We start from the raw sequence: 15,728 nt of genomic DNA on the forward strand, positions 1-15,728 counted from the left end.
CAAAATACCATTACAAAATAGTGGCAGAGACTGCAAGTTTGACGAAAAACACAAATACTCTACATATTTATGAAAATAAACAATCCCTAAGTAGGATAAATACAGAAACATCCCCACCAAGAAACATCATAGTCAAAAGGTTAAAAGCCAAATATGAAAAGAAAACTGTGAAAGCAGCAAGAGAATAAAAACTCAGGCCGGGCACGGTGGCTCAGGGCTGTAATCCCAGCACTTTGCGAGGCTGAGGCGGATGGTCAGGAGTTCGAGACCAGCCTGGCCAACATGGTGAAACCCTGTCTCTACTAAAAAATACAAAAGAAAAAAAAACAATAGCTGGGGTCATGGCTGGTGCCTGTAATCACAGCTACTCGGGAGGTTGAGGCAGGATAATCTCTTGAACCCAGGAGGTGGAGGTTGCAGTGAGCCGAGATCTCGCCATTGCACTCCAGTCTGGGCAACAAGAGCAAAACTCCACCCACCCCACCCCCCAAAAAAGAAAGAAAGAAACAATAGGTGCAAGAGGTTCTGAGATGGCATATTAAAAATCCTGAAGACAAAAAGATAGTCAACCAAAAATCTTATTCCCAAGTATATATATTATTCAAAAATGAAGAAGAAATAAAGATGTTCCAAAACAAGAAAAACAGAAAATTGTTGCTAACACACCTGCCTTAAAAACATAATAAAGGAAATTCTTCGATGTGAGTATGACAACAGACAGTAGTATAACTATACACACTCCCACACACAAAATAGCGTCAGTAAAGGTAATTTTGTAGATAATGACAAAAGATAAAATAACTGTATGATAAATGGCCTTTTTTTTTCTTCACTTATTTACAAGGCACAGAGGTTGAATTAGTCATTTTTAAATTTCCCACAAAGAAAAGTCCAATTCCAATGGCTTCACTGATGAATTCTACCAGACATTTAAAGAAAACTTAAGGCTAATGCCTCATAAACTTTCAAAAAGTTGAAAATAGAGAACACATTCAAACTTAATTCTGTGAAACTAGAATTCCCTGATATTAGAACAAGGAAAAGACATCACAAGAAAAACTGCAGACCAATGCCTTTTATTAAAATAAACACGAAAATTCTCAACTATTAATTACCTGAAACCAGCTACATGCAAAACAGATTACACACCTTCAACAAGTGGGATGTAGCTCAGAAATGAAAGATAGGTGTAACATGTGAAAATAAATCAATGCAATATGCCATATTGATAGAATAAAGGACTAAAACCACACAGTTAATCTGAAGAGACCCAGAAAAACCATCAAACAAAATCCAACATCCATTCATAATAGAAACACTAGACAAACTAGAAGTAAAAGTGACCTTCCTCAATCTGACACACGGCATGTATGAAACACCCACAGCTAATATCATAATAAATAAAGAAGAACAATGCTTTCCCTCTAAAATAAGAAAGAGGATAACGATGTTTGCTCTCACTGCTTCTGTTCCACTGCATACTACACGTTCTAGCCAGAAAAGTTAAGCTAGAAAAAAGAAGTCCAGATTAGAAAGGAAGAAGTAAAACAATGTCTATTTACAGATGACATAGTATTTTATATCTACAACCCCCCAAATTTACTAAAATACTAATAAATGGGTTCACGGAGATTAAATGATACAAATTCCACATACAAAAATTAATCATCTTTCTATACATTAGCAATGAATAAAGTTAAGAAATGATTTTATTTATAATAGCATCAAAAGGATAATAAAATACATAGAAACACATTTATCAAAATAAGTGCAGTATTTGTAAACTGAAAACAACAAAATATTGTTGAAAGAAATTAAGTTATAAATTATTCATATAGCAATGAGTTAAGATTATTAAAGTGAAAATACTCCCTCAAATTTTATACATATACCATGAAATCAAAAATTCCAGCTAGATTTTTTGGAGAAGTTAACAAGCTCTTCCTAAAATGCACATGGAAGTCAAAGAACCAGAATAATTAGTTAAAACAATGTTGAAATCGAAAAAGTTGGAGGAGTCACAGTTCTCTCTATCAAAAGCTACAAGAAAGGTATGTGCTGGAATAAGACAATATGGTGCTGGAATAAGAATAAACATATGGATAAATGTATTAAAACTAAGAGTTGAGAAGTTAACCTGAATATCTATGATCAACTGATCTTTGGCAAAGAGTTCTTAGCCATGACACCCAAAAGCAAGATACATAACTTTTCCTCTGGAAAAGATCCTGTTAAGAAGATGCAAAAACAATTGACAGACTGGGAGAAAATATTTGCAAACGTGTTATCTGACAGAAATCTAGTATCTAGAATATATAAAGAACACAACAGAAAAATACAATCTACTCTAATCCAAAAATGGACAAAGTCATCAAGATTTATTTCACCAAGGATACCTGCTGCCAAATAAGCAAATGAAAAGATGTTCAACATCACCAGTCATTAGCAAAGTGCAAATTAACACGATGATGAGATGTCACTTTGTGCATATTAAAAGAGCAAGGCAAAAATATTATATATAGTATTGACAATACAAAAATGCTGACCAGGATTTGTAGAAACTGGTGTTCTCAATCATTGGTGGTAGAAATTTAGAATTGTACAGACACTCTGTAAAATAATTTTTCAGTTTCTTAATTGAAAACATAAGTAATCATACATTTAGTAGATAATCCAGCAATCGCCTTACTGGGTATTCATCCCAGAGAAACAAAAAGTTACGTGCATGCAGAAATATGTACATAATATCTCACAGAAACTTTATTTAAAATAGCCCCAAACTGGAAACAATTAAAATGTTTCTCAATAGGTGAATGATGAGATATACTTCTATGTTTATATGGAATACTACTCACCACTCAATAGAATTAACTATGAATACACACAACTTGTATGGATCTCAAGGGCATTATGCCGAGTGAAAAAAGTTTATCTCAAAATGTTGCATGCTATGTGATACCACTTATATAACATTCTTAATATGACACAATCATAGGACTGGAGAAAAGATTAAAGATTCACCAGGGTAAGCAATGGCAAACGGGGTTGGGGGAGGGCTGCGACTAAATGGGTTGCACAAAGGTGATCTTTGTGAAGGTGAAATAGTTCTGTATCTAGACTGCAGTGGTGGTTACACAAATATGAGCATGAAATAAAATGACATAGAGTTGTATTTACACATTGAGCCAATATCAGTTTCCTGTTTTGATGATGTATTAGAATTGTGCAAGATATGTGGAGGGAAGCCGGGTAAAGGATGCAGGTCTTTTCTGGAATATCTATCCAACTTTCTGTGGTTATATAATTACTTCAAAATAAAAATTTAACAAGAGAAAGAAATTCACAACACAGTTTTATCTAAAAAACATAATACTACGTGAAATACACCACTCAAAAATACTATTTATTGTATGATAACATTTATAGGAAAAGGCCAAAATAGGCAACTATAGAGAAAGATAGTCTGCGAGTGGTTGCCAAGGACTGGAGGTGAGGTGGGGCAGGACAATGGTGAAGAAGTTGTAGTAGGTACAAATATTTTTTTTTGGAGTGATAAAAATACTCAAAAATTATACTATGATCATATTTGCACAACTCTCTGAACATACTACACCCCATTGAATTGTGTACTTTAAACAGATGAACTTTATAGTATGTAAACCATAACTCCATACAACTGAAAAAAATGAAGAATATCTGAAAGTCCCTGAGGTTTACTGAACCCCTAGCCTTGGCCTTGAGCTGAGAAACTGGCATCATCAGGATCCACTGAAACTAGATGGTTCTGCAACTTGCTGTATATCATAGGCACTATATACTTTGAAAATACAGATAAAGCTCTAATTAATTATTTTTAACCTTTGCATGGCATTCCATTGTATGAATACACAATGTTTATGTATTCTTATTTCTATACATGAGTAATTTGTGTATTTCTCCTTATACTCATAAAGGGGAATTTTATATTGAAGAGAACAATTTTTGTGTTATGACATGAGCCTATCTTAAACTTTTTAGATGAAGGCATATTTTTCTAGGAAGCAATGGACCAATTACTCTCCTACTGACACACTATGTCATCCCTGTTTTTGAGGCTGTTTCCTATACTTGTTATTGTCAGACTTTATTTTTTCAGTGAATTGCTTTTAAATTGCACATCATTGTGATGTTACTTTGCATTTTCCTAATTTCTAGTAAAATAGAGTATGTTTTTAAATGCTTATTTATTTTACATTTACAAATCAGAAAAAAATCATTATATGATTTACTCATTTTCTATTATTTTAATTGAGGCATTTTCCTTTAATATTTGTATAGTAATTGTAGGAAACTTTATTGCAAATATCCTTTCCCAGCTTCTGATATGCCTGTTTTTGTTGTTTGTAAAGTCTTTTTTAGATTCCTAAAGTCTCTGTTCTAATGGAGGAGACATAATGGTTGTTTTTAAAATTGGTGTGCATTTTATATAATTGTTAATATTTTATTTTCATACTTTGATTTTTCTTAAACCAAAACATCTTTCTATGTTTTAGGTAAGGATATATTTTTTCCGTATAGATAATCAATAGCTCCAGTATAATTAATTAAATACTCCATTCTTTATGGATTCATACTACCACTCTAAGATGCTGACTCCAGAGATGTTTTGAGATTTACTAGATACGTGAGTGCACTATCTTGCTGTCATTACCATTTTGTATTATATATAAGCCTCTAGTTTTCAGGACAATGAAGTGAATATAAATTCAAACTCATGACTGATGACATATGATTATGAGTCTGCTGGATGAAATTTGTCCACCCAGTGCCCAGATGAGGCAGATGAACTTGATCTTGTTGCTTCTTTACACCAATGGGGAGATGTTTTGATACTCATTCTTTCACTGAAGATATAGGCAAGCATCAGCAGTTCCTCAGAACACATACGGTTAAAACATCTTATGTCACCCAACGTTCAGCTTATTTTTAGTATAAAAATTCACTATTTTAAAATGATTTTATTTTTTGATATTTGAAATAGTTGAGATAATTTGAGATATTTTATATCTCAGATTATAATCCTCTAAGACAGAAAGTTCTGAGCATATTTCTAAGGGGGAGGGGTGTGGAGACTATTTTAAGATATTTAATTAACTTCTAAATAAATACCATACGTACCAGCCCACAACTCTGTCAAAGCAAGATAGTCATATTTGCTATGCATTTCTTATAAAATCACTAAAATGTTTCTTGTATCACATTTTCAAAATTCCAAGTCACCTATACTGTAATATACTGTAGTATGTTTTCACCTTCAAGGAAATTCTATTATGTGGCATTAAACAATTGCTTTCCTAAGCTTTGCTACAGCTTACAATTTTTGTTATAGAATGTAATTACTGTTTTTTGAATCCTGAGATTAGCCGTTGTAGACTACACACATAACAGCTCATGTTTTCTTCTTTGCTTTTGTTATGCATGAAGGTATATTGATAAACTCAATTTAATCACTGAGTACATTACAAATGAAATAGATGTCTCTGAAAAAATTTGTATCAAAATAATTTTTTAAATTTCAAGCTCATTCTTCAGTAAACCTTATTATAAAATTAAAAGTGATTATCTTTAAGATAACATTTAGCCTTCGGCCGGGCGCCGTGGCTCACGCCTGTAATCCCAGTGAGAGGTGATAGCATGCTGGCAGCCCTCGCAGCCCTCCCTCACCAGCGCGACTTCCGGGTGCGCGTGGGCTGGGCTGGCCCGCACTTGGAGCGGCCAGCAGCCCCGGGCAGTGAGGGGCTTAGCACCTGGGCCAGCAGCTGCTGTGCTCGACTTCTCGCCAGGCCTTAGCTACCTCCCTGCAGGGCAGGGCTCGGGACATGCAGCCTGCCATGCCTGAGCCTCCCCCAACCTTGCGCTCCTGGGCAGCCCCAGCCTCCCTGATGAGCGCCGCTCCCTGCTCCATGGCACCCAGTCCCCATCCACCGCCCAAGGGCTGAGGAGTGTGGGCACACCGCGCGGGACTGGCAGGCAGCTCCACCTGCAGCCCGGTGCGAGATCCACTGGGTGAAGCCAGCTGGGCTCCTGAGTATAGTGGGGACTTGGAGAACCTTTATGTCTAGCTAAGGGATTGTAAATACACCAATCGGCACTCTGTATCTAGCTCAAGGTTTGTAAGCACACCATTCAGCACCCTGTGTCTAGCTCAGGGTTTGTGAATGCACCAATCCACACCCTGTATCCAGCTACTCTGGTGGGGCCCTGGAGAACCTTTGTGTGTAGCTCAGGGATTGTAAATGCACAAATAAGCACCCTGTGTCTAGCTCAGGGTTTGTGAATGCACCAATCCACACCCTGTATCCAGCTACTCTGGTGGGGCCCTGGAGAACCTTTGTGTGTAGCTCAGGGATTGTAAATGCACAAATCAGCACCCTGTGTCTAGCTCAGGGTTTGTGAATGCACCATTCGACACTCTGTATCTAGCTACTCTGGTGGGGACTTGGAGAACCTTTGTGTCCACACTGTATCTAGCTAATCTAGTGGGGACGTGGAGAACCTTTGTGTCTAGCTCAGGGATTGTAAACGTACCAGTCAGCGCCCTGTCACAACAGACCGCTGGGCTCTCTGTAAAATGAACCAATCAGCAGGATGTGGGTGGGGCCAGATAAGAGAATAAAAGCAGGCTGCCCTTAGCTAGCAGTGGCAACCTGCTCGGGTCCCCTTCCACACTGTGGAAGCTTTAGTCTTTCGCTCTTTGCAATAAATCTTGCTGCTGCTCACTCTTTGGGTCCACACTGCCTTTATAAGCTGTAACACTCACCTCCAAGGTCTGCAGCTTCACTCCTGAAGCCAGCGAGACCACGAACCCACCGGGAGGAAGGAACAACTCCAGACGCCCCGCCTTAAGAGCTGCAACACTCACCGCGAAGGTGGGCAGCTTCACTCCTGAGCCAGCCAGACCATGAACCCCACCAGAAGGAAGAAACTCGGAACACATCTGAACATCAGAAGGAACAAACTCCAGACATGCCGCCTTTAAGAACTGTAACACTCACCGCGAGGGTCCGTGGCTTCATTCTTGAAGTCAGTGAGACCAAGAACCCAGCAATTCCGGACACACCGGCACTTTGGGAGGGTGAGGCAGGCGGATCACGAAGTCAGGAGATCGAGACCATCCTGGCTAACACTGTGAAACCCGGTCTATACTAAAAATACAAAAAAAAAATTAGCCAGGCATGGTGGCGGGCGCCTGTAGTCCTAGCTACTGGGGAGGCTGAGGCAGGAGAGTGGCGTAAACCCCGGAGCAGAGCTTGCAGTGAGCCCAGATCGCACCACTGCACTCTAGCCTGGGTGACAGAGCGAGACTCTGTCTCAAAAAAAAAAAAAAAGAAAGAAAGAAAACATTTAGCCTTCAATCTTTTCTCTACACAACCAATTTAAAAACTCACATATTTTAGAAACATTCTAATTTGCTGACAAAATGTGAGAGCAATTTAAGTATATTTTAAAAATATGAGGCATGAAAGTATGAGAATCTATGAGATTGGTTTGTCAGATTCCACAGGCACTAGCAATGTGATCCCAACAACATACAAGAAGTTTTCATTAGGATTACACACAACTGGGCAGAGTGGTATTGCAGACTGCTGCTGATCAGCTTTAAAGTTTTTAAAAATAAAAAGAAAGAAGAAAAATTGACAAATAGGTAATAAATGTATTATTAAATACATTTTGTTGGACTGTTACCATCACCTATATCAATACTTATTATTTCTATTGCCAAAACATTATTCATATACACTGAAAAGACAAACAAAACACAGTTGTTAATGTTAAGTTTCCTTGCATTTTTTCCTCCATATTCATGAGGAAGTCAATGAGAAGGAGGATCATAGAGCTCACAAGATTAGTGAGGGCCCCCCAGCATTAGAAGGTAAGTGGTGCTGTTATTTGTTTATTCTTTTGTTCAGATTTTTCCCAGCCAAAGGTTTTCAGGTCTATAGATCCTAGAAGGTGATTATTAAAGTCTAGGAGCTATTTCTTTTTAAATGAATATATTGCTCAACTAATTCATATTTGTTGTGGAAAAACTATAAAATACAGATGATAAGCATACAATAAATAATCACTTCAGGTTCCAACAATTGAGGCAAAAACCCTATGCCAATTGAAACAATTTTAAATGTAGATATGTGTGTTTTATGAACGCAAAGAGTGAAATTGCCTTTGACTATGATAAGTCTAGAAACCAGAAAATTTTGCTACTGTATTGCTAATTATAATTCTCATAAATAAATCTCTTTTCTCAAATTCAAATTCAAACATGTCACTATTTTTTAAAATAAAGAAATCCATCCCAATGTACCCTAAAAAGCTCTGTGCTTTTATTTTACATGATCTTCGTCTTTCATAGCAGAAGGCAAGAAATTTACCTAAATTTATCTAAGCTTTGGCTTTTTTTGGACATATAATGTTTATATATCATAAAGTAAACAACGTATGTCAACACAAAAGAAAGAAAGCTGTGAAGTAATTTGAGGCTCCACCTCAATATTCTAATTTTATGGTCTCCTTTATTTCCTTGAAATAAGGGAAATGGAAATTAGGATGGCATTTAAGGGGAAGAAGATGTAGGGGCTCTAAGGAAGAAAATGAGCAGGATCCTTGTAGCTGTTTCCAGTGTGCTTACCTCTTGTGGCAGGCAGGAGAGTATTTCTGGTTTCATTACCCGTGAAGAGGCTTCCAAATGGATGCCTCCCCATAGGGTTCCCAAGCAATCATTCCATTAGTCAGTGAATCAAGAAACACTCAGTGACCACATCATCAGACTAATAGCACATTCAAAGGTTGTAATAAAGGAAAGTTAAACAAAGCCTCTGCTTCTCACAGAAAGTCCAGAGTCAGAGACATACCTCTTGACCCACATTCCACACCCAAAATATTCCCTTGTCCTCTTAACTAGGAAACTGATTTGTCTTTTCTTTCCATTCTCTGTGGCCATATACTAATTAAACAAATATGTGTTGGGTGTCAATAAGAAATAATTCCTGTCGTTAACAAGAATCCCTCCTTAAGTTCAAACTTGAATCTTTCTGATTTCAAAGCTGCTGCTCTCAGATAATAAAGTATACTGCCTTTTACAGAAATGGTATTATTTCATTTTCCTTCCATAAGTTTTTGTCTAACATGTGCAACATACATGTAAGGGGATACAATCTCCATCACATTGATGAGAACCTGAAAACTAGAAAGATTCAAGCTAGCTTTCCAAGGTAAAAAGTAGGTAAATTGCAGAGCCAATATATGAACACTGTTATTCCAAATATGTGAGTGGAGTAGAGATGAGGTGGACAAAGACAGTGCCCAGTTTCTGACCCTGGGTAACTTCCTGAGTGGTAATGCCACCTAAATTAGGCATAGCATGTTTGAGGAAGAAGAAAAATCAATGATCATTGTATCAATTGAGCGAATAGAAATTGGAGGTGAGATAGAAGACAAGGGTTTTCAAGGATTTTGCAGACCAAAGTCAAGGAAAGGTTTGAGAGTATCTAGATGCACAAATAAGATCAAATCAGCATGAAACTTTATTAGTTTAATTGCTTAGTTTGTTAGGTTAGTATGTTTCTAATAAGATGACAGAAACTTGAGGATATTTTTTGACTTGAGAAGCAAAAGGCAGAGATGAAGGAGCAACTGAAGAAGGGAATTTGGAAAGAGTGTTCTAAAGAAAAAGGAGAGAATAGGATCAAGAAACAAGAGTGCAGGCTTAATTTAGACAAAAAACACTTGATTTCAATCAAAAAGACATTTGATTTCAATAACCTTAATTAACTTCCATGGTATTCTGCTTTGATGTCACTAATTTTTTACTACCAATATTTGTCTACCTGTTACTTTGAATTTTATGACAATTGAATTATTTTTAATCAACTTCCTTATGAATTTATTACACAAGTATACACGGTATGGTTCTTAGTTTTGTGATTGGACACTGCATGATATTAGTAGTCATTAGGGTAGTCTGCATACTCCAAAGTGTAGCAGAAAGGGGATGACAGAAAGATCCTCTGTAATGTTGAATCTCAAACATTCCTATCAGTATCAGGCCTTCAAGCTGAATTGGGCAATTATTACTACTTCCAATACATGGGGATAGTCTTGTCTTCAGAATTCCAAATCTCAAAATTATGATAAAGTGACTAAAACATTACTAATGTAATCCATTTCAAATGAACAGCCACATACATATAAATAAGCTATAGATGGTTTAAGGAAAGAGCCATCAAATCAAAAATTTTAAAGCAAAGATTCCAGGTTGAAGCTTCGAAGTTCTGCTAACATGGTTGACTCTTGGACTCTTGGTTTTTTGCCAGTGGTGGTAGGACATCTTTGTATGCTTCTGAAACTTTTTAAATATGTTTATGTATGTCAGCGGAAGTTGTTAATCCAGGTGTTACTTTTCTCTATAATTAAGCTGCGTAGTCATCCAGCATTTTGGGTAATAGCATAGTTACCATCTCATTAAAAATGTGAATCCCAATGAAGAAACATGTTTCTAGAATGAAGCACTTTCTTTCTTTCTTTTTACCAGGTCACTGTGACAGAGATGAGGCATTTGATTTCAATAACCTTAATTAACTTCCATGGTATTCTGCCTTGATGTCACTAATTTTTTACTAGAAATATTTGCCTACCTGTTACTTTGAATTGTATGACAATTGAATTATTTTTAATCAACTTCCTTATGAATGTATAATACAAACATACATGGTATGTTTTTAGTTTTGTGATCGGACACGGCATGATATTAGTAGTCATGTCCTGCCACAAATATTTTGTGTCCCAGCCCTATGTTTGCTTCTTTATAACTTACCACAATGAAAGTTTGCTCATGAGTGTTTACTAAGTTTTTGCCAGTATCTCCACCTGGAATATAAGATACAAGCACAAAACTGTCTTTCTTTTCACTATTCAATTCTCACTGCCTAACCAAGGGTGTGGATTGGCCACTTAATGTTTGCTGAAGAAATGCCTGAATGAGCCAAATCATTGTAAATGATCCAATTGATTTGCTTTCTACAGACCTGGATTTTGATCTCCCCTTTTATTTTAGTTTAATAACTTTCGACTATTTTAATGATTTTCTTTAGCAGTAAGATGGATGGATGGATAGATAGATAGATAGATAGATAGATAGATAGATAGATAGATATGTGAACTTTACCCATGATATGATTTAGATCTGTGTCTCCACCCAAATCTCATGTCAAATTGTAATCACCAATGTTGGGGGTGCTGCCTGGTGGGAGGCGATTAGATCATGGGGGCGGTTTCTAATGGTTTAGTACCATCCCCCTTGTACTGTCTCATGATAGAATTCTCATGAGATCTGGTTGTTTAAAAGTGAGTAGCACCTCCACCCTCCCTCTCTCTTTTTCCTGGCCATGTGAGATGCCTTCCTTGCTCCCCGTTTCCCTTCCTAAGTTTCCTGAGGCTTCCCGAGAAGCAGAAACTGCTATGCTTCCTGTACAGCCTGCACAATCATGAGCCAATTAAACCTCTTTTCTTTATAAAGTACTCAGTTTCAGGTATTTCTTTACAGCAGTGCAAGAATGGATTAATACAACCCATTTCAACTCATTCTAGATGAACAAATTTTTTTTTTACTTTGTTCTAAATTACGGTGGTTTGGTTTTATATGTGTGCTTGCATCTTGTTTACAAATAATTACATTTTTAAAATCCAGCTGTACTTGAAATAATCAAATAAGTGGATTATAAAGGTATTTTCATTTTAACCACTATAACTACAGATGCTGCTAAGTTGTTAAGCTCCTGAAAATAATCTCTTACATCTCTTTAAATCCATTAGAACACAAATGGCGAGTGAGTCCTCTGACATTTCTTTTGATGTCCGTAAAATGTATTTATCTCTTTCTCAGAGAGCTAATTATTTGTTTTTTCCTTAAATATCCTGTTAGAAAGATATCATCAATGTTTATTGTTTTTTCTTCCTATTGCTTGACCTCATTTGTAGGTTTTCCACAAAACATAACAGCTTGGATTTGGTGAATGGCTCATCACACAAATCACAAAATATAAATTTTGCTTTGAGGTTTTTGTCTCTCCCTGGCCCTAGTTTAAGAATCCTTAACATGATTTATAACTTCTCCCAATTTCTTTTTACCTCACTTACCCATTTATTAACGTCTTTACAATTTTACTCTCCCTTCTAAATATATTTCTTCTCACCACAAATCAATTGTTTTAATACACTCATGTGAGGACAGGGAGAGCACCCTAATCCTGGAGAGGAATGACAGCCTGAGAGATTAGAGCATTATATGAGAAATTTGACTAAAATTAGAAAAGCAACAGATGCCTTTCTCACGAACAGGTCTCAGGAGCATGACTTGACCCGGGAGGCTTAGTACATTGTCCTGGGATTTGGCAGTGATGAGGGAAAATGTGCAGTGCCTTGGTACACTTGCCTGTTTAAATCAGTGTTGCCAATCATTGCCTTTGCCCTGAATTTTTAAATATTGACTTCCATATTTGCAAGGCAAATGCTCTTAATTTCTGATGCAGTTAGTGAAGTCTGCCATCTACTTTGTCCCAAGCCCTTTAACTGACATAAAGAGAAAGGAATTTTAAGAATTGAAGTATGTAAAGCCAAATTGTTCTCTGTCTCTCTCTCTCTCCCCCCAACCCCACCCAAACACACACACACGCACACACACACACACACACACACACACACGTACACAAAGAAATAACAGTCCAGAGAGTTTGAGTTATTTACCTGTTATCACAATGGATGGGACACTTTCCCTGCCTCTCATTACATTTATGCCTGCAGCCCCTCAGGAAGAGCAGAGCTTAAGAAGAGTCTGGCTCCCTGATCTCCATGTAACTCTACCAACCAGAAACATACGACCAAAAATATAAATCCAGGTATTCAGATTTCTAACATGATCATCTGGAGATTTAAATGATTTTTTTATGATTAATCAAGATGATCTAAATAAACAAAAATACTTATATTAATTATATTTTGGCCATATGATAAGAATCATACAAATTCCAACTCTTCTTGGCTGGTTAGCATGTTTAGCAGAACCCCTGAAGATAGAAAGATATTTCAACAGGTAAATACAACCTCTCCATGTTTATGATACATTGAAATTAGAAGCAACAGGAAAAAGGTGGTGAATGGAGGTAAATGATTCAATTGAGCAATTAGAAATATGGCCAAGTTCTGCTATAAACATACTTTGGGTTTTGTTTTTTTTCTTTGTTGTCATTTTTCTTTGCTGCACCTGAGCAAAACTATATTTACCAACCACATATGAGGTGCGGTCATCCTTTTTTTTTTTGAGACGGAGTCTCGCTCTATCGCCCAGGCTGGAGTGCAGTGGCTCGATCTCGGCTCACTGCAAACTACGCCTCCCGGGTTCACGCCATTCTCCTGCCTCAGCCTCCTGAGTAGCTGGGACTACAGGCGCCCACCTAATACTAATTTTTTGTATTTTTAGTAGAGACGGGGTTTCACCGTGTTAGGCAGGATGTTCTCCATCTCCCGACCTCGTGATCCACCCCCCTCAGCCTCCCAAAGTGCTGGGATTACAGGCGTGAGCCACCGTGCCCGGCCGGTGCGGTCATTCTTAAATACACTTTGACATGGAGAAGGTAAACCCAATAGAAACATGACTCATCCCCAAATGTATACACTGTAAATTCATGATGCCAAATTGAAAAATTTAAAGTTTAGAAGGATTAGTCGTCCACATTTATTTTTTTAAATAACTATAATTGCAAATAATGTACATTATACTGTAGGATGTAGTAATGATTGAATAAAACTCGATATAGGATAATTACATAAGATTACCCCAATAATACCTGTATTAATAATAATGCCTCTACCTGCTGTCAGTGATGAAAAAAGCATGAGTAGGAAACCTGGTTAGCTCAGTTAAGACTCACAATAATAACGTGAGTACTTCATGATAAGCACAATGTTTCACATTAAACATATTGGGTATATTGAATATTATGAAGGAAAATGGAAAATTCTAATTATGAGATAAAACTACAAAGATAAGTGATATCAGAAAATGGGAAGTAAAAAATATGGTCTTTGTCACCCAAGAAATAAAGGTATTAATTTTTCTTTTCTCTTCATTTATAGTTTTCATAGATAAGATAGTTAGTATTTAACTTGGTATTCTTGAGTAAAGTTGAATTACAAGAATTTCAAATTTGCGTTATAGATTCCAAACTACTTTGGAATATTCTCCACACATTTAAGTGACATCTTTTTCAAAGCACCATGGCTTTAGAGATAGAAAGGGTTTGACAGGGTGCTATTAATTATGAAATTTTCACAATTATTTTCAAAAACTAGCTGGAATTCTCATAAATAATGTATTAACCTGATTTGATGAATCTGGATAGTAAATTATCTCCTACACTTTTTTTTTTATAGAAGCTAATGGTACTTGTGGAAATACATTGATCTAACTCCATCAGAAAACACTTGTAATGGTAATGAAAACCTAAGTACCATAGATAAAACACAGCAAATGAATTTCCCCATGTTACGAGAGCAATATCAAGCACAATGTGAATGTTGCCATTAATTCTTGTTTTCCATTATTGTTGCAAAATGTTGTTAAAAGCATTTGTGAATTCAAAATAATTAAATCTTTTGACCTACTCAAAAGAAATGATCCCCCAAGACATAGCTTCAAAAATCGAATTTTCCTTCAAACTGTTGTATATTTGAGGGCTTTAATTAATTCATTAGTTTATTTAATATGATAAAATTAATCTTGATTTTGCATTTCATTTTAATAACTTTGATAGCTTAAGAACTGCATTTGATCTTATGATAATTTTGCCTGAGATGTGTTATTATCTTGAAGGATTTCTTGAAATTCCCATTTGCAAATAGTCTCAGAATTTGCAAGTGTTTGCTTGTTGAGCACAAATACATTTAAAGGTAAAAGTAGCAAAAATGCAGACAATCACAAATAAACATTGAAAATAAACACTAAAATGTGTTTCCAAGCTTCTTTACATTATTTTCTTATGGACTTAGCCTCTGATTGGAGAAGTGCTAATGTGAAGCTCGAAGGCTTCCCCCAGGAGACCTCTGATGCCTCTTTTAAAGTGTATTATTCAGACTAGAGTGAGCAGCTGCTCCTGTGCCCAGCTGTGAATGGTTCTGAAAGCTTTCCTCTACAAGCCACTCATCCAACTCTCATAGTTCACAATAATCATGCTTTAGGTTAAGGCCTTAAAATGTCCCCATTAAAATACATATGAATTAATTGGCAACGGGGTGGCAGGTAGAGGGAGACTAGATTAATCCAAAAATTTTGAAAAAATTTTTAAGGGTTTTATGAATAACTTTTATTCATAAAGTTTGAAACTTAATTCCACGTTAATTAATTCATTCACAAATATTTCCTTGTATGGGCCAGACACTATTCTTGGTATAGTAACCATTCAGGCACATGTACCAGGGGAGCATTCTGCTCTGCTGTGGCCTGCAAAGGACCCTTGGGTTTCCTGAAGCTCTCACTACTTATCCCACCTAGTGTCACTTAGCCTGAACTGCTTTGTATAGTATATTGCACAGGATAGACACCTCCTCCACCCATGGTGTGTCAGCTACTAGAGGGGGCGATTTTATTCTACATACAGCACTGATCAATGTCCCACTATGAAGTTTAGAGGATGCTG

This window comes from Homo sapiens, chromosome 8 (assembly GCF_000001405.40).
Source record: "Homo sapiens chromosome 8, GRCh38.p14 Primary Assembly".
Lineage (NCBI taxonomy): Eukaryota > Metazoa > Chordata > Mammalia > Primates > Hominidae > Homo > Homo sapiens.